The 27,926-nt window shown below is 42.5% G+C and overlaps 1 protein-coding gene and 1 long non-coding RNA gene across 2 annotated transcripts in view, besides 1 other annotated feature; both read left to right on the top strand.

Annotated features, from left to right (window-relative positions):
* The first annotated feature begins 621 nt into the window (after nt 1-621).
* Nucleotides 622-26,615, top strand: LINC00548 (long intergenic non-protein coding RNA 548). The gene is made up of 6 exons (NR_033877.1): nt 622-687; nt 14,072-14,225; nt 16,606-16,796; nt 23,247-23,359; nt 23,713-23,856; nt 24,733-26,615. It is a non-coding gene; the product is annotated as a long intergenic non-protein coding RNA 548 (long non-coding RNA).
* LOC124903162 (uncharacterized) overlaps nt 3,431-27,926 on the top strand; it is a 138,590-nt gene continuing 114,094 nt past the window's right edge. Inside the window, exon 1 of the mRNA XM_047430821.1 lies at nt 3,431-3,546. Within this exon, the coding sequence (XP_047286777.1) occupies nt 3,494-3,546 (53 nt within the window). The 5' untranslated portion in view covers nt 3,431-3,493. The remainder of the gene's footprint in view (nt 3,547-27,926) is intronic.
* Nucleotides 14,265-14,364: an enhancer, noted in NCBI's record as "active region_7602". NCBI's record gives its function as "activates an Ori minimal core promoter by ATAC-STARR-seq in GM12878 lymphoblastoid cells {active_cell/tissue: GM12878}" and the evidence as "EXISTENCE:reporter gene assay evidence [ECO:0000049][PMID:35858748]".

Below are 27,926 nucleotides of genomic sequence, written 5' to 3'. Positions count from 1 at the left end.
GAATCTCTGTCCACAGAGTTAGTGTGGGAGGGAGAGGAGCAGGTCATAGTTTAAAATTTATTTTATCAGATGTTCCATAAGCATGAACTGGGCTTAATGATCGGACTATGTGACTTGGGTATTATGGTGTTATCATTAAATTACTAGTGAATCCTTACTAGGGGTGAATAAGGAAGAATTCTCACCATCTGTGGAAGTGAGACGATCGCTTGAGGCCAGGAGCTCGAGACCAGCTTGGACGGCATAGCAAGACCCCATCTCTACAAAAAAATAAAAACAGTTAGCTGGGTGCTGCAGCGAGTTATGATTGCACCACTGCATTCCAGTCTGTGAAACAGAGTGAGACACTGACTCCAAAAATAAAGAATTCTCAGAATTTGAGTCTGTGGTGTCTACACATTTCCCACTGTTTCAGCGTCAGCTTGGACTAACGTTTTTACAACCCCCAGTTCTGCAATGGCGTTAGAGGTTTTCTCAATTTCAGATTGCTTTACCTACTGTATATCTAAAGTGATAAAGATCTTGGAAAAGAAAGTAGTGCTTTCACTTTGGGGCAAGTTGCTTAGCTCATCTATGCCTTAGTTTCTTCATCTATAAAGTGGGGATAATAGCACCAAACATAAACAGTTGCTGTGGGGATTGAATGACTAGTGCATGTGAAGCTGCCAGTGTGGTGCCTGCCTCGGGGTGAGTGCTCTGCGAAAGTCAGCTACTCTTGTTATTGACAAATGCTCATGAGGTACAACCACGTGTCAGGTAAAGGCTAGGTGACTGAGTACGAAGATAACTAAGACAGAGTATCCTGCCCAAGGGATTGTTTGCAGCTTGTTTGGGGGAAAGATATGTGAATAAATACGATTAAGAATCACGGGTGCTGTGAAAATTCTGAGTAGGGTAGAGTGAGGGGCCCACTGTGCCTGGGAAGGGTTTGAGGGTGGTCAAGAAGGGCTTCTAGATCAGACAACTCTGGAGCTAAGGCTTGAAGTATGAGTAGGCGTTTACCAGGCAGATGGGTGGGAAGGCCGTTCCAGCGGGGACAGGAAAGCACCCCTTTCCCCCTGCTTGCTTGAGCACCCATCACAGAGGGCCTGGCAGTGAGGCCTGGTGGCACAACCTGGAGCATTGCCTGCACGCCCCTAAACAGACTATTTACTCGCCCTTGCTGCCGCCTCATTTTGGTTTGCCGAGGGTGGGGGAATATGACCATGTACAGGGCGTAATTGGAGACGAGAACAGCCCTCCAAGATAACTCCGTGTTGGTGATCACAGGGCTTACAGGGAATATGGGGGAGGCCCTGCACCCCAGCTCAGCTTCTTCAGGGGCCTTTCTCAATAGGGACTTTGACTTTCTGCAAAGTGATTGACTTCGGCCATGTCCAGCCCTTGCTTGTAGGGTGCGCAGGTGTAAGGAGGTGTGAGAAGTGTAGGGAGAAGGTAACTCTGAGAAAGTAGGCTCCTTGCACAGACACATAAGAAGGCTCTTTTGCACTTGCTCAATAGTAACTAATTCTTTTATTTCTCTGGCCTAAAAATAAGGCCCTTCACAAATTATTCTGAATCTAACTCTCAAGACATTACCTTCTTTTGCCATTCGCTGTATTCAAATGGTACCACTTGCCATTCCATTAATATTGATGTATTTCTATCTTCATAAACTTGCTTGTATGAGTCTCCACTCCTGGAATGCAATACCCTGCTACTCAGTGCTCAGTTTGAATGTTACCTTCACTTACGTAGAGGCAGAGGGAATGAAATGTTAGAAGTTACAGGGACCTCGGGATCTTCCACTTCTGCCTCCTTACTTCGGGGAAACCAAAGCCTAGGGAGGTGACAGGGTTTATGTTAGACCAACATTAAAACCAGGGCTGAGAAAAAAATCTCCTTGTTCTTAATTCACTATTCTTTCCATGTGGCAATGCCCTTCATTCACTTTCAATAACTTCCCTTAAAACACTTTTTACATTCCATTTTGTTTTACAATTTCTTTTAATTGTATTTATAGCTCTGAGGGCAGAGACCATGTCTGAATCATTTTAGTGTATCCCACAATATTTAACACAGGCTTACACATGGTAGGTGCTTACTATGTGTACTAAGCTTGAATGAATGAATGGATGGATGGATGGATGGATGGGTGGGTGGATGGATGGATGGGTGGGTGGTCAAACGGATGAATGGGTGGATGGATGGATGGGAGGATGTGTGGGTGGGTGGATATGTCAATGAGTCTTTGGATAATTGCTGATGTAGCAGTGCCCCAGGAATGTGCTCAGGTGTCCTATTATTCCCATAGAAGACTTTATCTGCAAATGTGTGTGTCATATAGCAGAGGTAAATAGAGCTGCAGGTGTGGCTTGCTCATTTTCTGATGTGGTGAAGAAAAGATTATGAGAGGGGGCTGGGTGAAGAGTATACCCTTCCAGGTGTGTACAATAATAATAACATAGCTCTTTATTTGTTCCAGGTTATGTATTAAGTACTTCTGTGTACATTATCATCTTTAATCCTCGTAGCGACTTTATGAAACAAGTGTTCTTATCGCAGATTTTCACACATTTAAGGAAGTTGAGTAATTTGCCAAGGAAATTTCAGAAGTAGGACTTGAACCCAGGTTGTACTGACACAGAAGCCCAGGCCCTTATCCACTCTATGGAGCTAGGAAATGTCAGGGTGGCAGCTGGCTGCGAGGCCTTGGAAATCTTAGCTGCTATGTTTGAACTGAGTCAGGCCACTAATTTCCTGAGTGGGCAAATCACTTAATTTGGCTTCTTGGTTTACTCTATGGTTTAATGGAAGTAATAGAATCTTCTTAGCAGGAGTGCTGTGAAAATTAATGACCGTGTATAAAGTGCTTTAAGATAAAGATTTTCAGATCAAAGGAGCTGAGGAAAGGGAGTTTGGAGTGCTATTAGGAGAAAGGGAGGACCTTCTGCTTATTCTATTTCCATGGACTGGTTGGTGAATGGGCAATGGATTTGCAAAAAAATCAGCTTCAAATCAATTTTCATTGATGAGGAGTTCTGGGGAGGATGTGGAACCTGGTAAATAATTTCTAGATTCAATTTTCACACGTTTATGAAACACTATTTTTAGCACTATATGATTTTGAAAGAGAATTACTGTGATAAATTAATAATGATGGTAATTAAACACCACTGGGGAACCAGGGGAAAAAGTACACCATAGGTTTCATCTCTGAGTCAGCCTGACTCCTTCATTGACAAACTCAGCATGTCGTATTCTTCTCCTCCATCTGCTTGCACTCAGTCATGGACATGGGAAAGGGACAGAGAAAGAGAAACTCTCTGTATGTCACCACATCCCCTTTCCCCTTCTCTCCAGACAAGAGCATCTCTTTTTTTTTTTTTTTCAGAATCTTGCTCTGTCACCCGGGCTGGAATTATGTGGCATGATCTCGGCTCACTGCAACCTCCACCTCCTGGGTTCAAGTGATTCTCTTGCCTCAGCATCCTGAGTAGCTGGGATTACAGGCATGCACCACAATGATCGGCTCCAAACAGGAGCATCTTGGTATGATTTTTGTAGGTAGGTGTATCAGTCAGTTTTTCTGTTGCCATGAAGAAATATCTGAGTCTGGGTAGTTTATAGAGAATAGAGGTTTAATTGGCTCACAGTTTTGTAGGCTGTACAAGCATGGCTCCGGCATCTGCTTCTGGTGAGGGTCTCAGGAAACTTCCAGTCATGGCAGAGGTGAAGTAGGGAGCAGGTGCTTCAAATGGTGAGAGTGGGAGCAAGAGAGAGAAAATGGGGGAGGTCCCAGACTTTTAAACAGTCAGATTTCACTTGAACTAACTGAGAACTCACGTATCACCGAGGCTACGGTGCTAAACCATTCATGAGGCATTCACTCCCATGATCCAGCCACCTCCTGCCGGGCCCCACCTCCAACATGGAGCTCACATTTCAACATGAGATTTTGACAGGACAAACATCCAAACCTGATCGGTAGGATTTCTGCTTCTTGATTTCTTCACCCTTTATCAGATTGTAGGTGACCACCACACATGCCCTCTTGAATTAAACAACAACAACAACAACAACAAACAAGCCCTTGGCCTCTTCTATCCCAGGCAGGCACTACTGTAGATTCACATATGCTTTCCCATCCACTCCTTTGTTCATAATGATGGAATATTAGCTCTGTGCCAAGTGCTGCTCTAACACGGGGAGCACAATGGATGTGATCCCTACCTCATGGAGACACTCGCTGTGAAGTAATCACACTGCTAAATAATTAAGCTGTGATGAGGGATGACAAGAGTGTTGAGGAAAATTGAACGGAAGTGGGAAAGCTCACGACAGAAGTCTGTGACCCAGTAGGATGAGGTTAAAGAAGGCTCCCTGAGGATGTGAGTTTGCAGTGAGTCTGAAAGACAAGCAGGAGTGAACAGGATGGCCGGTGGGCATTTTCTGTGCTAGGTGTGTGGGATGCAGAGATGAATAGAACCGACAGCATAGCCCTGATCTCAAGGCTCACCTACTCCCATCAGGGAGATGAACAAACACACCAGTGGTGACAGCACCCCGCAGCAGGGGGTGTAGATGGAGGGAGGAGGAGGGCTGGGGCATGGAATCTTACCCGCAAAGTCTCCAAGGAAGTCAGACTGTCTGGGGCGTTTGAACAGCTCTGAAGCAAGAGTGGGATTAGAAGATGAATGGCAAGGGGGCTGGGGAGGAAAATAAAGAGGGGACATTGCGTGCGAAGGTGCAGGTTGCTGAAGCATCCCTTTGAGAAAGGACAAGCAGCTTTTCAAATCCGGGGTGCAGGGACCTGTTGAGGAGTGGCAGTGGCCAAGTTAGAAAGAGCCTTGTAAGTTACAGTAAGGAACTTGAACTCGATCCTATTTTCTGTGGAGAATTATGGAGGGATTTTAGTTAAGGGAGTGAAGTGATGAGATCTGCACTAGAGAGATCTCCCTCTGGCAGGAGTGGGCTGAATGTGGGCTAGATGGGAGGTCAGGAGCCACATTAGGAGCTAACATAGAAAGCATCAAGAGTGCAGATAGGAGAGAAGGCAACTTTGGAATGACCCTGCGAGATGGAGTGACTGACTGCACCTGAGTGGAAGAGTATGAGAGGGAAGTCAAGGACAAGAATCTTCACCACAGTCACTCAACAGTGACAGAGCTTCACTCCGCAGTGTCCTTGAGGACTCCTGCAGCCCAGCTTCCTGATGGATGGTTTAGGTTCTCCAGATGTCTTTGACCATAGAACCATTTCTATTTTTAATGTATTACAACGTTTACTAACATCCAGAGTGATCTTGCTGAATTTAAAAGCTGAGCATATTTGTCCCTGCTTAAAATCATTCAGTAATTTTTGGGTAAAGTTCAAATTCCTTGCCTTTGACCTTGAGGCCCTTCTTGAACTACTGTTTGGCAGGACCCACTTTGGGAGAAGGGTTCCATGATGACTCTATTTGTAGTTCCTCTTTTAGGAAAATGTCTTTTCAAATCTTTTGCCTATTTTATTTGGTTGATCTTCTTTTTCTTATTGAGTTGTAGGAGTTCTTTATGTACTTTGTATATTTCTCTTGTCAAGTGTCTGTGCTGAAAGTGTTTCCTTTCAGTCTGCGTCTTGAGGTAACAGGAGGATGTGAAAGTTCAAGGGAAGTGATGGTGAACTGAGTTTTGGACAAGATGAGTTTGAAATGCCTGAGGGATATTCAGAAGCAGATTCCATAGAGACTATCTTGGTTAAGTTTCTACTTTTTTTTAAGAGGACAACATCTTGGCTATTGTCAAGATCTATGCATCTATGCCTTAATTATTAACACCACTTGCTGTCTACATTTTAGGTTGTGGGCCAAATACTGAAACAGAGAAGCCTTTATTATCTGATCCCATGAATAACTTGGTTGTGAGAAACAATAAGTATAGGAAGATATTTTTTAATAATTTGCAGTAAATATATTTCTTTAGATGTTCAGATCTTCACTTGCAAACAAGCCAGACCATCACATAGTTGCATGGTAGAGCTGTATTGTTTTGGACTCTTAAACGCTCGCTTTATTGTATTATGCCTTGGCATTATGTCTCAGCTTTATAGAAGAAGATTTTTAAACCACATCTATGTGCAACCTGTTGTTGATTCTAGGGTAGGGATGAAGTCCAAAACTTCCTCCGAAATATCCAAAATATTACAAAGCCAGGTTCCCTGCAAGAAATTGTTTAGGATCTAAAGAGAATAAATATTTAGTTTGCTTTTTATTTAGATTTAGTAAATCTAGTAACTATCATATTTCCCTTTGAACTGGCTGATAATGAAGCTGAGATAATTCAACTGTTTAGGGTTACATGGGATCCTGTGACTTTATGATTTTCTTCGCTATATCTTCCCTTTGATATTTTAATCCTTCATCAAAATATAAAATGTATATTATAAATTATATTATATATAATATATATTATATAATATATAATATAGAATCTATATTATATAATATATAATATATAATATGTATTATATAATATATAATATATAATCTGTATTATATATTATATAATATGTATTATATAATATATAATATATAATATTATATATAATATATTTTATATAATATATTATATATTATATATTTTATATAATATATTATATATTATATATTTTATATAATATATTATATATTACATATTTTATATAATCTACAATATATTTTATATAATATATATTATATATTTTTATATATTATATATAACATATATTTTTATATAATATATATATTTTATATATATTGTTTATTTTTTATATATTATATATTTTATATAATATATACATTTTATATATTATATAATATATACATTTTATATATTATGTAATATATACATTTTATATATTATATAATATATACATTTTATATATTATATATAATATGTACATTTTATATATTATATATAATATGTACATTTTATATATATTATATATATATTTTATATATATAATATATATATATATATATAAAATGACCTGTTTCAATGTTCCATGGAAAAAGGTGAGGTGTAAATACTTAAAGAACACTCAGTGAAGATGGTGTGGAGATAAATGAATATAATGGCTAGAGGGTAGTAGGGAGTTCTCATTTAAAAATATGGATTTGGAAGTCATATTAGTGCAAAGGATAGTTGATGCTCTGGTGATAGATGAAGTTCACATGGGATGATGACAAGGGCAAGAGGCAGAACCTAGGGGGTGATGCATAAAGAGCAAAAGAAAGCACAGAGAACACAAAGTAGGCTGGGAAAAATATTTATGGAAGTGGGGGAAAAAGGGTGGTATAGTTCCAGCAAAGAGTGTTATCACTAAAGATGGGGGGAGGAATTAAAATAGAGAGAAGGGGTCCACAATGTCAGCTCCTGCAGAGTTCAAGAGAAATAAAGACATTGGATGTGGGAATATGAAATTTGTTGGTGGCTTTAGCAAATGAAAGATGTCATTTGAGGAAAGAATCCAAGTACAAAGGAAGAAGTTGAAAATGTAGAAACGAAAGGAGAAAATTGGTAAAGAAAGAACCTTGAGGAGGTGGAAAGAGATGAGATTCAAAGCAGAGGGGGAAGATTTGACCTTGAACAAAAGAGGGAGACCATGTCTACTAAGCCTGAGGGCAGAAGGAATGGAGAGCATGGGCCAGGCACGGTGGCTCACGCCTGTAATCCCAGCACTTTGTGAGGCTGAGGTGGGCGGATCACCTAGTTTGAGACTAGCCTGACCGACACGGTGAAACCCTGTCTTTATTAAAAATACAAAAATTAGCTGGGTGTGGTGGCACGCACTTGTAATCCCAGCTACTCAGGAAGCTGAGGCAGGAGAATCGCTTGAACCCGGGATGCAGAGGTTGCTGTGAGCCAAGATCACACCACTGCACTCCAGCCTGGGCGACAAGAGTGAAACTCCGTCTCAAAAAAAAAAAAAAAAAAAAGGACAGCATGGCAGAGGCCAGGCAGCTGTTCACCAGACTGCCAGACCATTTTTCTTTCTTCTTCATATGCAGCCGGTGACATCCTAGTCTTTTTTGCCATTGGATGCAACATATGGTTGAGTTCTAGCCCTTGGAATGTGATTGGAAATGCGTGTGCCACTTACTGAAATTCCCATGCATGCTCCTCTAGACTCTCCTTCTTCTGAAGGATGGGGATGACAACCTTCAAGGAGGCTTTGAAGACCACGTGGTGGAGATAGCAGAGCCTCCTTCAGCCTGAGTGCCAGACTTTCTGTGTTGAGCAACTCCCTACGCTCCTAGTTCCTTTCTCTCCAGCTTAGAATCACCCTGGATTATCACAGGGGTGAGATATAAACTTCTCTTGTGAGAGTCACTAAATAACTACAAGTTGTTGCCTGTCACAAAGGTTGTATGCTATAACGATCCTGAATTAGAGAATATCTTTTATTAATAAAAGGAAGTGAGGGAGGGCCTTTTTGAGGAATGGCATTTAGGCAGAAAGCTAGAGGGTAAGAAGGTAGCTGTGCAGAGAACCAGGGGAGAGAGTTTCAGGCTGGGTGAAGAGTAAGCACAGAGTCTGTCGGGGGAGGCAGGTCTGCGTGTGAGTTGTCAGAAGTCCAGTGTGACTGGAGCACAGTTTGTGTAGGGATGACGAGGGGAGCTTGGATAGTTTGGTAAGACCTGGATGGAGTGTGTCTCAAGATCATGGCGGGATGTTTGGAATTTCTTCTAAGTACAATAGGAAACCATTGAGAGGTGCTAGGTAGAGGAACAACTTGTTTACTTTAAAAGCTCATGCTGGCTGCTGTGTGCAGGAGGAAGGGGTTGTGGAGGAATGGGGAACCCATTCATAAGCCTCTATTTTGTGGTCCTAATGAGAAATGTTGGTAGTTTGGATTATAGCAGGAATGTTTGAAACAGAGAGAAATTGATTAAGTGCAAATTTTTGGAGTAGACCCAATAGGATTGGCAATAGATTGAATGTGAGGGTTGAGGAAGAGGGAGGGATAAGAGATGACTCCAAGATTTCTGTTTTGATCATTTGTGTGAATGGTGGTGCCAATGAATCAGTTGAGGAAGATGGGAAGATCAGTTTTTAGGGGACAAATCAAAGCATGTTTGAACAAGTGAAATTTGACATGCATTGGAGTATGCAAATGGACATGTAAGTAGGCAGATGGATGTAGGAGCCTACTGCTTAGGGGCAGAGCAGGTGAAGATGGAAATTTGGTAATCATGAAAGAGATTAAAATTCATGAGACCGGATGAAACTACCTGGATGGAGGGGAGCAGGAGCCCTGAGGAATGCTGACATACCGACAGGCAGAAGAGGAGAGGAGGGAGGAGGCTGAGAAGAGGCAGTCTGTGAGGTAGGAGGAAAGCCAGAAGAGGGCAGATATCCCAAATCTAACAGAGGAGAAGGCTTAACAAAGGAGGCCATGGTCAACTGTGTAGACAGCTGATGAGAGATCAAGGAAGAAGTTGTCCACGGAAACAGAATGTTCCTAACTGATGGCCTCATTTTCTTAGTGGAGTTGGAGGGGGTGTAGAGGAACTGAGATAAACAGAGGTTCAAAGGCAGAGGAGAAAGTTTGGCTCACAATTGTGGGAGATGGAAGAGGAAGGGGGTCAGGGGAATGGGAAAGGGTCACTGGGCAGAGATTGTCAGAGGTGAAGAGGGGCAGCCATGGGCAGTTGTTGGCCTCAAGTGTCTGGCTCATGAGTACGTTTCTGACTGACATGTGGATTATTGCCTCCTGGAGGCCCCTTTCCCTGTTTATTCCTCCAGAGCTCATTTTCTCCCCTCCCCTCCCCTTCCCTTCCCTTCCCTCCTTTCTCCTCTGGAAGAAGCCTCTGCCAGTCTTGATCTAGTGCTTGGGTGAGATCAGCACCGTGAGCCGGTGAAACAAAGACCAGCTCAGGATTTCTAACACTGGCTCTACCACCCGCTCACTAGGTGTCTTGGGGTGTGATGTCAAGCTTCTCTGTCTCCTTTCCCTTATCTATAAGGTAAATAAATAAAACAGGGGTAGTAGTATCAGCTTGCTCTCCTTCACAGGGTTATTGTGAAGATAAAACAAGATGAAATATAGCCATTGGTGCATGGCTTTTCACTTTTTTAAAGTGCTTTTTCAAGTAAAAGTAAAAGCACTTTGAAAAAGTGAAAAGCCATGTACAAGTGGTCAGGCTATATTGAAATTGTGCATGTTCCTGACCTCTCCCAGAAGGCAAAGACTTGGCACACCTTTCAGCTCCACATCTGTTCTATCTCTTTTCTTAACTTCTTCCTGGCTTGCCTTACACACCTGTAAATTACAAACAACACTATTATCTGTTTACCTCTCACAGTTGTTTGTAATTGGGTATAAGGTGTTTAAAATAAAGCCCTGAATAGGGTACAATGTGCAAGCATTCTGGTTCTGTATTTGTTTATATATTGGTCATTATCTTTATTCAAGTCTTCATCCAACAAATATTTATTGCTTTTTAAACTATATTCCAGACATGGGGCAAATGACAAAACAATACACAGTTCTTTCCCTCATGGACTGAAGTCTTTAGTGGGAGACAATCAGATAATCATTATAATACAGATCATGAAAGGGTGCTATAGGAACATCAACGAGGGACACCTAAGCCAGAGTTGTGCCATCATGGAAGCTTCTAAAGGAGTCACTTAGTGGAGGAAGCAGAAAGGAACCCTTCTCTGCTGTTAGCCTTCATTCCCAAAAAGCACCCATTAGAGGAAGTGTGGATTCACAAAACCCATGCCTCATTTGTCCATGTTAATCTTTCCTTCCCATCCTTTTTCAAGGTTAGTTGATGGAGGCTCAAAAGGATTCATTTTCCTTTTCTTTATTTTTTTTTTTTATTTGAGACAGAGTCTCGCTCTGTCGCCCAGGCTGGAGTGCAATGACGCCATCGTGGCTCACTGCAAGCTCCACCTCCCGGGTTCACGCCATTCTCCCTTCTCAGCCTCCCGAGTAGCTGGGACTACAGGCGCCCGCCACCACACCCGGCTATTTTTTTGTATTTTTAGTAGAGACGGGGTTTCACCATGTTAGCCAGGATGGTCTCGATCTCCTGACCTCGTGATCCACCCGCCTTGGCCTCCGAAAGTGCTGGGATTACAGGTGTGAGCCATCACGCCCGGCCTCATTTTCCTTTTCTAGCCCTCTCTTGAAAGGGAGAATGACAATAAGTGGCTCAAAACCATTCTGCTAAAAAAGAGAAAAGCTGGGCATTTCCCTAACTTGAGTGCCAACCCTTGAGGAATTGACATTGACAAAACTGCCCCTCTCAATGACCACATCCCACCATTGTCCCTAGAGCTATGGATTCAACTGGATCCTTCCAGATTTCCACTGGTTTCATGTCACCTTCTTGCACTGGAAGACAGAGAGCTTGGGCTTTGTGGCCATGATGAGCCCTCTCTGTAGGGTAGATGGTGCTTGGGATGACAAGCACCCCTAGAAAGGCAAGCTCAGGCTTGTGCTGTTGGCCCAGTACTGCCTTGGGCCCTGGACACTCTGCCCTTGAGTGGGCTGTTTGGTGCATAGAGCAAAAGGCTGTTTGTGCCCTGAGTAAGAGTTCAGATTAAAGGATTTATATAAACTTTTTGTCTATGGGCCCTGATGGGTGCCTGCTGTCCAGATGTTTTGCTGAACAGATGTTTTGCTGGACATCTCTGAGTGGGCATGTTGTGCTGACTTCCCCCAGAGGCTGCCCAAAAAGAAAACATGCAATGTGAATCTCTTGTTACCTGCTCTGCAGAGTCAGTGGCTCTCTCCAACATGATGCTGTAGGCCAAGACATTTTAGATACAAATCAACTAAAAACTTAATGAGAGCCTGGGAAATTCACATTGCCTATTCTCCATGCATCTCTGCTCTCTGTTGCCGTGGTGATGTATCTGCATGGAGCATGAGGCCTCATGGCTTTAATGTTGCGTTTTAGATGAATGTGCCCCTAGTTGTCAGGTATGAATCCCCCTTGCTTTAATGGAACCATAGCCTGTAATGTAGCTATTAACTGGTAGGCTTTTATTTTAACCTCCTGTACTCTTCAGAAAAATAATAAAAGAATTTCCCCAATGAGGGAATGTGGAGTTTAGGTTTTACTAAACCCAAGTGATGTTAAATCATCCTTCTTGTGCATGCTTTGCCATTTAACGATGGCCTAGTACAAAGCATGCCACCTAGTAGGGCATAGTAAATGCTGGGTCCTGCCTCCTCCCTAAGTGACTGGCAAGGAATTTAGGCCTCTGGCCTGGGTTCAGAAAGGTTGAATTGGGTTCTGGATGGGTTATTGGTGTAATAGAATTGATGGAGTTTGAGAAAGAGTGTTCTGTTATCTTGTGTTGGAGGACGTGGCTCATCCTGTGATTATCTCTACACGCAGGTGTCATCTGTTGAGACCTGGTGGCACCACCCTTTGTCTTGCAGGTGTGAGAATCACTGCTTTCTTGTTCTTATAGAAGTTGGAAAGGAAACTCTGCCTTTCTGTTTCGGAGGCTGCCTGCAGCCTGCTGATCTCTGCTTGCTGCATGCAGGACAACCCAGTGGCTGTTTCCCCAACTTGGTGGGTCTCAGTCTTCCATGGGCTTCATACTCATCCGGGGTCTATGTTAAACTTCAGATTCCATAGTGCCACCCCCATAGTTCTGATCTGTAATATCTGGGGCAAGCTTCCATGTGTCAAGAAATACTATGCCCAAGCTTTGCGGTTGAAGGGGACTCTGCAGGTTCATAAGACTAAGACTAAGAGAAAGAAGGCCTGCAGCTGGGAAGAAAAAGGGTTGGTACATCCTCTTGTCACTGCTGTACGTTGACCATGGGTCCAATGCTCTGCGTGCCAAATATGCTATGTGACGTTCATTTCTTTAATACCAACTAGGTGCCAATCCCCATGCTATGTGCTGGGAATACAGAAATGAGCAAGAAATAGCTCCTGCACTACGAGATTCATAGTCCAGTGTGTATGGGCAGACAAATACAAATCAACTACAATACATGAAGACAAATGGTGCAATAATGTAGCCTGAGCCCAGCCTGGGGCAATTCATCAATGCGAGGAGCCATGGCATAGAAAAATATTACCTACCTTTTATTGAGCACTTATTATAGCCTGGGCTTTGTTTTATTTATATTAAGTAAATTTATTACAACAAACCTGTTAGGAAAGAGTTCTAGATTATTAACAGTTTGCACAAGGGTGCCTAGTTTATAAATAGCAAAGCCAAAATGTTGTTGCCAAGGGCCATATTCCTAACAGCTATAAAGTCTTTCTAGAGAGAAGGGACATATTATTTACTGAACATATAGTATGTGTGGGGGTCACTTAACTGAACACTTGTGACATTTCTGAGGGTGGCCAGAACTCTGTAAAGAAAAACACTGCAAGCACTGATAAGCCAGGCACACCCATCTGGATGCCACCATGACATCTATTAACCAGAGCTTGAATGGATAACAGGTATGCTGGGATATTGATTCCCTTAGCTTTCCTGCTGGCTGGGAAGGGCTCAACACCTCTTCACTATAGCTCCCTAGTCAGTTTACCCAGCATGCTCACAATGCAGGGCACAGGCTGCCCTGGTCTCTATAACCTTGCCTCCACAAGCAATGGATGCTGCATAGACAACAGCTATTTCAGCCAGAGTTATGATGGAGGACTGTATTTTGCATTTCCATCGTCTGGCCACTTTTGAATATGAGTGAGGTCTTCCCCCAGTCCTTTGAATGAGACGCATCAGGTTGGTAGGTTAGTGCTTGGAAAAAGCCCCCATCTGCTGGAATAGGAGTTAGACTTTTCAGTTCCTCACAGTCCATTTGCATCCCACTGACTCACTTTGCACACATTTTGTCTGTTGGGGTTTCAGTTGAAGACACCCTTCTTCACTTCCTCTCCTAAAAACAGTCATGTCTTGTGTCCCAAGAAACATGGCTGCTCCAGTATTAGCCATGCGTCATGGGTGGTCCCCGGCACCTCAACCTGACGATGGGCTTCATGGACAAGTCCTTAGTCAATGTGCATTTTCCATTTTTCTCTTTTATGTGTTACCGTTTGGGGCCAATTATATTTTTAAAAAGGCACTTCTTTTTCTTTCACTAGGTTCATCAAAAACAGGAAGTCAAAGGTCTGAATACTCTTCCTGTGAATCAACAGAGAAAGCTTTCTCATCTGAGCCCATGAATACGCAGCCTAGGGCCACTGACTTGTAAGAATGGAGAGTTGCAAGCTGGACCCTGGGGTATCAGACAGGCAGGTATGGGAGGTGGGAGCTGTCCCTCCCTTAAACCTGGGAGGTACTAAATAAAAGAGGCATACAAGAAATGATGGAGTGATAGGGGTGGAGCTAGGGCAGGAACAGCTTCATTCCAGGGTGTTATGAATAAGGTAACAGGAAGTGCTCACTCGCAGATCAGATGTACCATGCACTTCAGTAGCAGTGCAACTAGAATGACAGTCCTGGCCTTCTGGGGAGCTAGTGAGAGGGGTGGCTTTGTGTGGAGGTGTAGGGTGGTGGATGTAGGAGATGGGTGCATTTCTACACATTGTGCTGGATCAAGCACACACACACACAGACACACACACAATTGTTCCACAGATCCATTTGGCCTCACTGATTCAGTCCAACACTGAATCACAGGTTACTAATTCACGATTAGCGATATACATTTCAATATTAACCAGTGAGTCATAGGATCAAGAATAGAAAATGGACTGATATGGTTTCAAATCATTCCATGATGTCACTGGGGTTGAAAGACAGTCCTTTCTTGGCTGTTAAGGCGGCTGCTTGCCAGAGAGGAGCCATTCTGCCTGCTCTTGTCAAAACAGGCCTATGTGCCTTCTGTAGCAGCCACCTGCCTGCTTCTTCCCAGAGCAGAGGTAGGGTGAATGAGATCATACATAGAGAACGCTGGAAGATCTGGAAACAAAGGCCCTCTATATCTAGAAGCTATTCTGTCACTATTCCCCGTCCAAAAAACCCAGCCTTTTCTGCCACTGTTTCTGAGTGCTGAGAAAGCATAATAGCATCTGTGCCAAACCTGCCAATTCCTCTCATTCCCACCAGCTTTACCTGGAATCGTGCTCAGGCCAGGCTCTGAGCTTCCATATGGGTGTCTCTCTTTCTCTTGCCCACACTTTGAGCCTGCTCTTGGCAAAACCCTGGCCGAGGCACCAGTTTCCTCAGCATTGCTGACTCTTACATGCTGAGCCAGATATCTGGGGTGGCCCACAAAAGCCAGTCTTTCTGTGAGGATGTCATCTGTGGCCTTTGGCCTTGTTCATCTCTTCATTTTTTCATCTAGATTGTATTTGAGTTCCTGTCCCTATGCCATCTACTGTGGGGTGAGTTGGGGGTACAGAGGAGAGACTGTATGACTCGTGTTCTTGTGTTGCTTCAAGTCCAGCAGCAGATCAAGTCTGTCTATGCAGCAGACACAAGGCACCAAATGATCAACATGATTAGAGGTGCTATCTCACCACAGGGATACCTACGTAGGTAGCTTGTTTCATTTGCTGCTAGATCTAATGGTTAAACTGAGCCCAACTCTCCCTTTCTGTGAGTTTTAGTCATTTTTCCAGATTCCTTTCTCTGGAGCCGCACACACACCCTAGCCTTTCAGAATGAGGGCTTTTTGGATATGTGAAGATGACTATCTTTCTTCCATTACCTTCTCTTCCAAGGCTAATAGTAGTTTCCTAATTCTCACCTGTTTCACCCATGTCATTGGGTCCAGACCTGTCCCTGTTTTAATTGCTCCCTTCTGAATATATTCCTGCTTCTCAATGTTCTTATTGAGTGGGAAATCTAGAACAAAATACAGTATTCTGAGTTTATCTGGAGAGAAAAGTCAGAAATATAAATAAATGAAGAATAATAAAAATAATAAAAAGGAGCTTTGGTGTGTGTGTGTGTGTGTGTGTGTGTGTGTGTGTCTGTTTAACACATGGGTAGAGAGATGGAACATGTTTTTATTTCTAATTTTACATAATGCAAATTCAGTTCAAAGACTTCTCAGTACAGCATAATTGATTTTGACTTTCTTAGATCATAACATATGATACTTTTATTCTCTGGTGTTTTTATGCTAAGCTCTAAGAAATGTTGATGAAAATACCTGACCTACTTCTCTGGGCAGGTATTGTGGCTATCAGGCTGTCAAGTCAATCTCAACTTCCACTCGACCTTCCTCCTGTGGTCATGGCCTTAGCACCTTGGGTGGTGGATCCTCCACAATGTGTCCATTTCTAAGTAGCTCCTTAATCTAGTCATATATATGGCTTTCTTTCCATATCAAAGCTATAACCAAGACCTGCTTTGATGGAGACAGCTCTTGAGAAGACTGGCATAGATTATTCATTGAGTAGCTTCAGGGTTGGCCACTCTATCCATAGTCTCTGTGACTAGTGCTCAACCTGAGGAGTTCATTCCTTTCATATTCTAAGGAATGCACAACCTGTGCAACCACATGTGGCACCTGAATGCAGATTGCCTGTGATGTCTGCATTTAAAGCACAGACCAAGAATCCCATTTCTAATCTGTCTTGGGAGACACTGTTGATATTTCCAAATTTCTGGGTTGTAGGTATAGTAGATTGGCATTTGGCATTTATTCCAACTCTGTATCTCCCAGAATCCCTTGCAGCTAGAGTCATGGAAGCGAAGAAGTTTCCACAATTAGATGTGCCTATGCAAGATTTGAAAAGAGGAAATGTGACAAAAGGGCAGAGTTCTGCAGCTTTGACTACTTTTGCTGGCATGCAAGGTCTTGAAGATGCTGTGCTTTCCTGCAGCCAAATTCTACTGTATAGCCACAAGCTTCATGTGAGTAGAGAAGCAATTGTAGCAGCATGTTGGTAGTTTCTGTATCTCACAGCTCCAGGTTGTGTTCTGGAAGTCAACCATTCCTGTGGCACCCCACCTTCTAACTGGGGTAGAGGGAGCAGCTGCCTTGAAGGCTGGTTCACAGTGTCGTACTGGAAGGCATTCCTGGATCCAACCTTTAGCCTACCCTTCCAGCCCGTCCAATAGTTGTATGAACACTGAATTTCCTGTACTAAATCCCTTTCAGTTTAAAATAGCTAAAATCATTTCTGTTTTCCACCACTGAGTTCTGACAGATAGATTTATCAAAGGCAGCATAAAAAAGGTGATTTCAACTCTTTTTTACCTCAATTAAAAAGTGTTTTGTGACTGTTGCTAATAACTTCATCTCAAGAGCACTGTAAGGACTTGAGTTCTAGTCCTGTCTCTGCTGCCCATATGTTTGTGTGTGTGACCTTGAATAAGTCACTTCAGCCTTCAAAGTTCTTTTCCTTATCTATCAAACTGGGCACATAATGCCTGCTTTGTATGTGTGCCCATAAGTGGAGAGAATGTGAATGAAAGTGGGCTTTGGGCAATAAAATGTGACTGCTGTCTTTTTGCCTTAATATAATATAGTCTCCCTATGAAATCCTATCTCTTCCTCAAGGAAAGTACTAGTTAGAAAATGTCTATTCATCACAAAGTGAGAAATAAATAAAATAACCTGTCTTACATGTTGTTCAGGATTTTCTATGGCTATTGTGTTTGTCCATTTTGCTTTGCTGTAAAGGAATACCTGAGGCTGGGTAACTTATAGGGAAAAGAGGTTTATCTGGTTTACGGTTCTGCAGGCTGCCCGGGAAGCATGGTGTTCACATCTGCTTCTGGTCAGGACCTTGGGAAGTTTTTACTCAGGGTGGGAGACAAGGGGAGCTGGCATGTCACATGGCAAGAGAGGAAGTAAGAGAAAAGGAGGAGCTGTCAGGCTTTTCTTAACAGTCAGATCTTTCATGGACTAACAGAGCAAGAACTCATTACCGTAAGGGATGTGCCAAGCCATTAATGAAGGATCCACGCCCATGATAAAAACAACCTCCCACCAGGCCTCATCTCCAACCTTGGTGGATCACATTTCACATGAAATTTGGAGAGGACAAATATCCAAATCATATCAACTATTTTCAAACCAAATGTCCTGAGACACTCTGGAGAGAGAGTTGACATACCTGCAGGCATTTATAAATGAAGAGATAGATAGTGAGGTCAGTCAAGGGACCTTTGAAAGTCAGACAACTATCAAGATAAACATTAATATTATTTACCATGTCAATTTAATGGCTTACCAACAGATCTTGTGGAAAAAAGAGTCAGTTTATAACATCAAATAATACCATGTTGATGGCAAACCATTCATCCCCCTAGTTAATATATGTTGAATATTTGCAATGTGCAAAGTTTTCAGTTAGACATTGGGGCCCTATGCTAGATGTTAAAATAAGTATATTAGGGGAAATGTTACCGTATGTAAATTATACATCAGTTAACGTGACTAAAAAGAAGACACAAAAGTACGTCTCATAATAGGTATTCATTTTCCATCCTTAACAAAGCCTGTTTGTCGTGAATAACAGACTCACTGCACAATGTGCTATAATTCATGTCTCTGTAGAGGTCATTGCTCTTTGCCACACCCATGCCTGCCCTCATGCCACTGTTCCTCTTCATGGAAATCCCTTTCCCATCCATCTCTGCCTACCCAATTCTCAGCTCCTTTTGGGCCCTCGTCAAAGAAAATCACATACTCTGAGAAAGCTTTCCTGATTCTCTTTAGCCTAAATTAATCCCTCTCTGCTATCATAGTCCTTCATATATAGTATATGCTTTTTAGTATATAGTATATACTTTTCTAGTATATACTTTTTCTGTCTCATACGATTTTTTGTATTATTTTCCAGTTATCTAGATACATAAATATAAAATATTTATGTTTGCTATTTTAATTAATAGAATTTGGCATATTATAGTAGTAGATGGTTAATTAAGTTTGCTGAATTCAATTTTGAATGGATCTTACATCTATTTCACTGTACTGAATAGTTGAAAGAAAATAGCCATAAAATAGATATTGGTGCAGCCGAAGTGAAAAACAACATCTAAGTCTCCATCTTTCCTGTGATTTTCTGTCCTCTTTCTAGCCTCTCCCTGCCTACCTTTCCGTGTGAACAAGTGCACACCTATCTTGTTTGAGGCAGATAATTTATTATCATAGGCAAGGGATATTAGAGTGATAAGAAATGATGTCACCCTTGGGCCGGGTGCAGTGGCTCATGCCTGTAATCCCAGAACTTTGGGAGGCCAAAGTGGGTGGATCACCTGAGGTCAAGGGTTCAAGACCAGCCTGGCCAACATGGTGAAATCCCGTCTGTACTAAAAATACAAAAATTAGCTGGGTGTGGTGGCAGGCAACTGAAATCCCAGTGACTCGGGAGGCTGAAGCAGGAGAATCACTTGAACCCGGGAGGTGGCGGTTGCAGTGACCCGAGATGGTGCCACTGTACCCTAGCCTGGGCAAGAGAGCAAGACTCTGTCTCAAAAAAAAAAAAAAAAAAAAAGAAAAAAAAAAAGAAATGATGTCACCCTTTAGCTTAAAGTTTAATTCTATATAGTGCTAAGTGCATGACATGTCAGGGAGGAAAAAAATGTATAATTTACTCACATCCTGATTAAACAAAATAAATGAAATGCATAGGTGTATTCTGTAAGTGGTTATCCTGTTCACACTATTGAATTGCTAGTTAATTCTAAGGGTTATATAGATCCCTTTGAATTAAGAAAGAGGATGAGAACAACAGAAAGCCAGGAAAAAGAAATATTTAAGAAAGAGTAGAGGGCTTGCAACTGCCCGCCCGATGAAGTGAAATCTAAGGACTCATTAAAAAAGATTAATGTTATTAATAAAATGTAATACATTTATGTAGAGTTTTAAAGTGTACAATTTTGTTTACATGTATCATCTCATTAGACCTTCACAGTAACCCTACATGGTAAGTGTTATTATCTCAAGTTTGCATATGAAGAAATGGACTTTAGTCCTGTGATATGTCTCTTTGACCTCTGCACATGCCAAATTTCATTGTATATGATTTAGAGAAATATGCCAACCTGAAAAATTTATCAGCTACCATTTTATTACAAGATGTCAGACTATATCCCTAATAAACTTAATACCATTTGGTGGTAGCTTACCAGTTGGGGTCAGAATCATTCAATGTTACCCTGGACCTGACAGAAAACAAAATGATTTTCTTTGAAATGAGGAGTTTGCTCTTTGCTCATATGGGCAATAATGTTGGCATGACCATGGTCATGAAATATGTATTCAGCTTAAAGTCTGCACAAAGCAAAGGATGCTAAACATTCTAATCCAGATGTCTGTTCCCTCTCTGCTTTGTAGTGTATATCCATGCCAAATAGACACAAAGCTGGAAGGGGCGTGATTTGAAATGCTCTGGGTTGGTTACAGGTGAGTGAGAATGAAATCTTGTCTACTTTCAGCTCTCTGTCCAGCTGGTGTGTCACCAGCTAGAAATCATCCAGAAGTATGAGCTGTGTGATCTCAGGAAAGAGATTAGGCAACAACTCTCTTTTGTTTCAAATAGAGGCGTGAAAAATAAAAAGGTATTACAAATATAGCAGAATTTTCTCAAGTTAGCTATTCATCTGTTTAGCTAAGAAAATATCACTGTGCCATGCTCTGAGGGCACACAGATAGAGATTGAACAGTTCTCATCCTTGAGGAGCCCATGACCTAATGGAGCAGATAAATAGGCAAACAAAAGCAATGCAAGAAGAATGTCTACAAGATTGTGGAAGTGAGAGTGATGACCCATTTGAAGGGATGGGGAAGCCTCCTAGAGCAGGGGATGCTGCAGGGTTCAGAAGCTAGTTTTAATTAGTGGAGAGTAGGAAAATTATTCCAGGCAAAAGGAATAGTGTAGGCAAAAGCACAGGAACAGGGGTCTGGATGATTTGCTAAAATGGGCAGTGATTCATAAAATATGTGGAAAAATCCAAATTAAATGGGAGGAGAATACACATAAAAATAAAGAGAATTTCTAATAAGATGCTTCCATACTCAAAAGCTTACCTCACCTGCCTCACTCTGGGGAGCACAGCTCTGGAGCAATGTGTCTCCAACTTTAATGAAGTGCATAAAATTTAAATAGGAATCTTATTTAAATGCAAAGTCTGATTAAGTAGATCTGAGGTGGGGCCTGAGATTGTGTATTTCTAACATGCTCCCAGGTGATGCTGATGCTGCTGGTCTGTAGACTGATCTGGGGCTATGGATAGCAAGTGGAAGAAGGGAGGGTGATAAGCCCAGCAACCCCTTCGAGGCCAGTGGGGTATGTGTGTATGCAGGGTATTGCCATGAGCTGGATTTGATGCTCTTGGGCAATGGGCAGCAACCAATTTTGTTTTGTTTTGTTTCTGAGACAGTGTCTCACTCTGTTGCCCAGGCTGGAGTGCAGTGGCATGCTCTCAGCTCACTGTAACCTGCACCTCCTAGGATCAAGTGATCCTTCCACCTCAGCCTCCTGAGTATCTGGGACTACAGGCATGCACCATTACCCCAGCTATTTTTTTTTGTGTATTTTTAGTAGAGACAGGGTTTCTCTATGTTGCCCAGGCTAGTCTTGAACTCTTGGACTCAAGCAATCCACCTGCCTTGGCCTCCCAAAGTACTAGGATTACAGGTGTGAGCCACCATGCCTGGCCAACCAATGTTTTTAAACAGAGCAGGGACAAGATCATATCTGTGTCTGGTGAAAATGTGAAGAATGGCCGGGAGTGGTGGCACAAGACTCAAGGGTGTTGTCAGTAATCTTGGGGCTAATACTGGGGGCCTGAACATCACCAATGACAGCAAGCAAGAGAGGAGAGAGTGGATTCAAGAGATACTCAGGAGTTAAGATAGAACATTATCATTGTCTGGGTTGGGGGGTTGTGAGTAGAGGCAGAAGGAGGAGGAGAGAATGACTTTTTTTTTTTTTTTTTGAGATGGAGTTTTGTTGTTTTTGCCCAGGCTGGAGTTCAGTGGCATGATCTTGGCTCACTGCAACCTCTTCTTCCCAGGTTCAAGTGATTCTCCTGCCTCAGCCTCTCGTGTAGCTGGGATTACAGGTGCGTGCCACCACGCCCGGCTAATGTTGTATTTTTAGTAGAGATGGGGTTTCACCATGTTGGTCAGGGTGGTCTTGAGCTCCCAACCTCAGGTGATCCGACTGCCTCAGCCTCCCAAAGTGCTGGGATTACAGGCATGAGCCACTATGCCTGGCGGAAGAGGATGACTTCTAACGATCTGTCATGGAAGAGTGAGGTTTGGTGTTGCCACGATGAGGTATATCATGCAGAAAAAGGAATCAGTTATGTGAAGAATAGAAAGGAGCCTATGTGTCATGCAAGCCGAGCTCAGAAGGCAGTTATGATTGGGAACCAAGGTCCAGGAGATCTGGACACAAACCTGGGATGTACAGGTGCCACCACACTGTGCAAAGAAAGAACAAGAAAGCAGAGAAATGAATGCAGGATTCAATAAGAGGTGGTCTAGGGAGTAGGAATAGATCAGCAGACAGTGTTATAGCACGTAGAAGCTAAGTGCTTCAAGAATTAGGTAATGTCCGTGTCAAACACTGCAGAATGGTCACATATGGATGAGGATGGATTTAGCATTTAAGTGTTCAAGATGACTTTAGTGAAATGAGTTTCAGAAGGGGATGAGGGCCATGTATTAATGGGTTAAGGAGAGTATGGTAGGCATAATACGCCCCACCCCTCAAAGATGTGCCTGCCCTAATCCTTGGAGCCTGTGAATATGTTATCTTACAGAGCAAAAGAGGCTGCACAGTTGCGACTAAGGGCACAGATTTTGACATGGGGAGATTATCCTGGGTTATCTGGGTGGGCCCCAGTTTAATCACATGAGTCTTTGTAAGTCAAAGAGCCAGCAGGAAGAGTGTCAGAGAGATATGATATTGGAGATGGAGGAAGAGGGCCATAGGCCAAGGAAATGTGGTGGCCTCTAGATGCAGAGAACAGTTCTCAGTTTATAGGCAGGAAGAAAATAGAGACCTCAGGCCTACCAGTGCAAGGAATTCTGCTAACCACCTAAATGAGTAGGAAGTGCAGTCTCTTCTGGGACCTTCAGAATGGAGCACGGCCTGTCAACACCTAGACATTAGTTGGCTGCAATGCATACCAGACTTCTGATCTACAGAACTGTAAGATAATAAACTTGCATTTATTTTAAATACGAAATTTGTAGTGATTTGTTACAGCAGCCACAGGAAAATAACACAGAACCATTAAGACTTAAGAGTAATGACAACAATGAAAACATCAACTACTCTTTCAAGATGTCTGATGGTTGAAAACATAAGATTTTGATAACTGGAAATATGCTAACAGGAAAACCTTTGGAGTCATTTTCTTTGGAGCGGGAGTTGGGATGGTTTGCTGCAGACACCCAGATGTTTGATGCTATGTCCTTTTATCTTCACCTGCATGAGGCCGCTTGATATGTAAGTAATGCTATTTACTGCAGGGAATATCGTACAACTCCCCAGATCCCACGTTTGAAATTTATTTATTTATATATTGACTTTATGTCCTAGAGCAATTTTAGATTCATAGTCAAACTGAGCAGACAGTACAAGGATATCCCATATATCCCATTCCCCTCCACACCACCTCCCCCACTGTCAATATCCTGCACCAGAGGGTACATTTGCTACAGTGGAACCTATACTGACACATCATTATCATCTGAAGCCCACAGTTTACATTAGGGTTCATTTTTGGTGTAATACATTTTTTAACCTAAAAATAGAGAGGTCCCATCAGCAACCTTTCGTTGCTCGATTTCCTTCTTCAGTGATCTCACTGCAGTCCTCACTACATAGCTCATTGGAGTCCACACCATGGCTTCGTACGAGTGTGCACATGCAGTCAAAGGCACCCTTAATGCCTGCTGCTCTGCGTCCTTCGATGTCTCCTGCTCAGCAGTCCAGCTATTACAGTAAGTGCTTAATGTGTGCTCCAGCATTATTGTGGTATCATTTGGATGATTGCATGCTGGGCCGCACAAGTCAGAGGCAGCAAATGCATTAAAGGCTCATCGTTATCAGCTTGCTGAGGATGCAGTTGATGGAATGGTGGTAAACCTCAGATGTTCTGCTGAGACACAATCCTATTTGTGCTCTTTCCTCACCCTGTCCCTTCTCCTTATATTCTGTCCCTCATAAAGGCTGTTTCTCTATTGTTTGATGCAAATGTGTAGCCTGGCTGCTTTTCTAGTCTTGCCCACCTGCTGGGATCGTAGGAATATGATTGGTGAAGACATTGTTATTGGCTTTCAAATGAAAAAGCGTTTGGGGGCACTGTAGTAATGGGACAAGGGTGTTTTTAAACATCTTCAGAAATAGCTATGTACATTTCAACGTACTTTAAAATTCCTGTGAGTATTGCAGTTGTTCCAACTGTACTTATTTGGTGCGAGAAGCAAGACCAACACGCATTTAATGTATACTAAATATGCCCTAAGTATAGATTCCAATGCCACACCACTGATTTCTTAACACTGGTAAAGGTCTATACATCAAAGCAAGTGCTTCCTTTACTTTTTTCTGCATCCATCTATATTTTGCTTTTTCATCTGTCATATGAAACTACTATTATTTAGCATTTCTTTATGCTCAGCCTTCAGTCCAATTATTGGACACATTACAGGGTGCTGGGCACTGGACTAAACACAACTACTGGCAGTAACAATTCTAATTATGATGATAATGATCATTGGTCCAGTTCTGTCTCTCAGGTGCTCTGTGGGACTGAGCAGGCATCCATGGACACACGCATGCTTTAATGGGCACACCCATGCTCTCCTTTCCCACAGAGAGGCACAGAGCTGAGCATATTGCTTCAGACCCAGAAGAATCTCCTCCATCCCAATTGGGTACAATTGTGAAGGAAATGTGTTGGAGGAAGTCACCTTCTGTGAGCTGCTTATCCATCAAGTTGCACTCTGTGTGGGTGTGTATCCTTCCTATCTTGGCTGTCTTAGGTCTCCATATCCTAGGCAGTAGCCGGGTCAGTATTCCTTACCATGCACATTTGGGCAATAGAGGTACTGGACAATATAGGTAAATTCACAACCAATTCTTTCCCTGCATTTTCTCCAAATCTGTGGACCAAATCCTACTTACCCATGGCCCTACAAAGTTGTCTTTCCTATCAACACTAACACACCACACCTTGTTTCTCCTAACCTTCCCAGAATTCCTTGAAGGCTTTCTGATATTTGAGGCTTGACAAAATTTATTCATGCATTGATTAAGCAGCTAGGATTTATTAACCACTGTGAAACAGAAATTTTGCCAGGCAATGAAGATATTTAGTTGAGTAAGACAGTGCTTCTGTATTCAAGAAGTCTACCTGTGACCTATTTTAACTGTATGTTTCCCTGAATTTGGGGCATTCGAATGGTATGTACTAAATGTCTTATTGGATGGTTCATCCTGGAGGAGCGGCTAATGGAGGCTGGAGTCAAGCTAGGTGTCTGGGCTCATGTCTACCTTCTTCTGAGTATCAGAGGGCAGACTCTGATGTTCTCAGAGATAGATGTTCTCATAGTCTTCGGCTGGAGGAAATGCCCTTGTTCATGCCATCTGTTGACCTGTAGCTACCATGTAGACCTCTCTGAGGGCCTGTGGCTCATCAGGAGATCCGATGGACACCTGAATCTCAGAAAAACTGACCTATGGCACTGTTGTGATGCACAGGTATAGGCACATCTCAAAACATACCCGTAAATGTCCCAAGTTTGAATATTTTCAAAATTATAAGCTTGTATATAGCTTATATATTTGCATTGTAATCCATTTGTACAGTACCTAATTCAATGCGAGCAATTACTAATTTGGAAATTGTACTGATATAAATAATTCCTCTCTTTATTGCATGTAACACTGTGTCAGTGATATAAAAGCTATGTGTGTATATATATACATATATATAATATACAGATGTATTGAAATAACTTTTCTATTTGTAAACATAATGGAATTACTGTAGAATATCACCCTCAAGGGAAGGAAGAAATACATGTGAGCACTTTCAGGGTAGTTTGCCTGCATCTGAGCAGTTGTAGATACTTTGGTGGTATAACTGGTGATGAAGAAGAAGGAGGGAAGTTGCAGAGGAAAGAAGCTTGGAGATGTTTGGGATAGCTTTTTTAATTTTCACTGGAGTCGATTGTGCTAGGGCTTGGTTTTGAGGATCTGTGGGTAAATGCTGAGAGGGGTGGGTGCAGTTGCCTAGGCACAAATATCTGAATAGAGCAGATATGGATGAGTGGTTCAGGGGAGGAAATATTATCTGCCTTCTTTTCATTCTGCTTCATGCTAGGCAGGGCAATGATGATTGGTTTTCATTCAGCTTGTGCTCCAAGAGTACCTCAGAAAATGGGGAGCCATTTTTCCCCAGTTTTGGTTTTTAGAGGTTTATATCCCCAACTGGCTATGGTTGGCTGGCAGCCTTTAGCTTCAGTGTAGCCACACATGATTTCACGTCGTCTGTACATTCTTCGGCAGGAACCTGCTCCTTTTACTTCCAGTGGACACAGAGCACTTCAGCTATGGGCATCCATAACTACTTCCTCCTGGATCTGAGGCTTTCTTGGCTCTGAGAGCTTCCTGGGTTTGCTGACCTCACCCCTGTGAGGAGGAGGATTGGCCCGGCTGCTGAAAACATACGTGTAATTGAAGGAATTCTATTAAGAAAAAGGAAAAGAAAAAAAACACAAACAACAAACTCAACCAGATACATCTTCCATGGCCATTGTTCAATGCTGGGAATCTGTGGTTCGGTGCCATGGTAGGGAAGGAAGAGTGACTGTGAGAGGCATTTCCTCACTGAAGATTATAAAGAGCGGGTGAGGCTGGAAGTGGCCGAGCGGAAATGGAGAATAGTGTCTCCCTCCAAATAGGGTGATTCAGAGGGAGTTGATTTGAGGGAAATATGTGACAATGGGAGCCTAACAACTAGAAATCTTGAAACAAAATGAAACAACACACCATTATCAGCACCTAACCAGCCAGGAGCTTCCGTAGAATCCAAGGGTTCCACCCCTTACTACGCGGTAATTAGCCAGACCCATGGATCTTCCGCAGTGTTTCAGCATCCTCACTCAGTGATACATTCTAGTCAACATTCCTCAGGCTGGAAAACTTTTCTCATGTCTCACTTGAATCTCACCTGCTGCAGCTGAAGTTCATTTCTCCTTGCTTTGTTCCGGGGGACATGGAAAAGAACCGGTCGCCGTTTTCTCCTTAAGAATCCTGCGGACATGTGATGAGTTAAAAACACATTTTCCCCTGCCCACCCCTACTTAGCTGTTCAGAACTCTCTGAATTGGTAAATTCTGGAGAAACTCTGTTAAATCTTTATGCTCAGGGGAACAAGATCCAGTTACCAAGCAAAATTAAAGTGCAGCAACAACACCCCTGTTCTGGTTTGTCAAGGAAAACCCTTTGCCTGGACTCTCGATTTCCAAACAGAATGCAGCACAGTTTAAAGAGTATTTTGTTTTCCTTTTCTGGAACCCATTGTGTGTCACGTCAGAGACAATGAGCTGCTCATACAGCTGCAGTTGTCCAAGTATTAAACTTCCCATGCAAGTCCAGGTTAGCTTGGAAGATAGTAAAACCGCTGGGTGAAGTGTGTGTGTCCCCGTGTGTGTGTCTGAGTGTGCGTAGATAGGGGTGCCCGGGGCGGAGGGCTGACTATGCCGTTTTCCAGCTTGAAGCATTCATGGCCTCTTTCTTTCAGGCTCAGGAGGCTGTCCCCACAGCAACACTCACACACTGTGGAACTGAATAATCATTGGCAAGATCTAGGGGACAGTAAGCCAGATTGGGCGGGGAGAGCATTCCATTATTATAACACAATGCCATAATAGGATACAAAATTCTTTTCATATTAATTCTTATACAACAGGAATCTTAAATCTCGACTTTTACAGTGGAAGGGGAGGTAAAATGCAGCCAGCTCTTTGTTGTATTTTTGTAACTAAAGTTATCTGATGCACCT

This window comes from Homo sapiens, chromosome 13 (genome assembly GCF_000001405.40).
Source record: "Homo sapiens chromosome 13, GRCh38.p14 Primary Assembly".
In the NCBI taxonomy this organism is placed as follows: domain Eukaryota; kingdom Metazoa; phylum Chordata; class Mammalia; order Primates; family Hominidae; genus Homo; species Homo sapiens.
The sequence above is the reverse complement of the archived record's forward strand: the minus strand, read 5'-3'. Positions and strand labels throughout refer to the sequence as shown.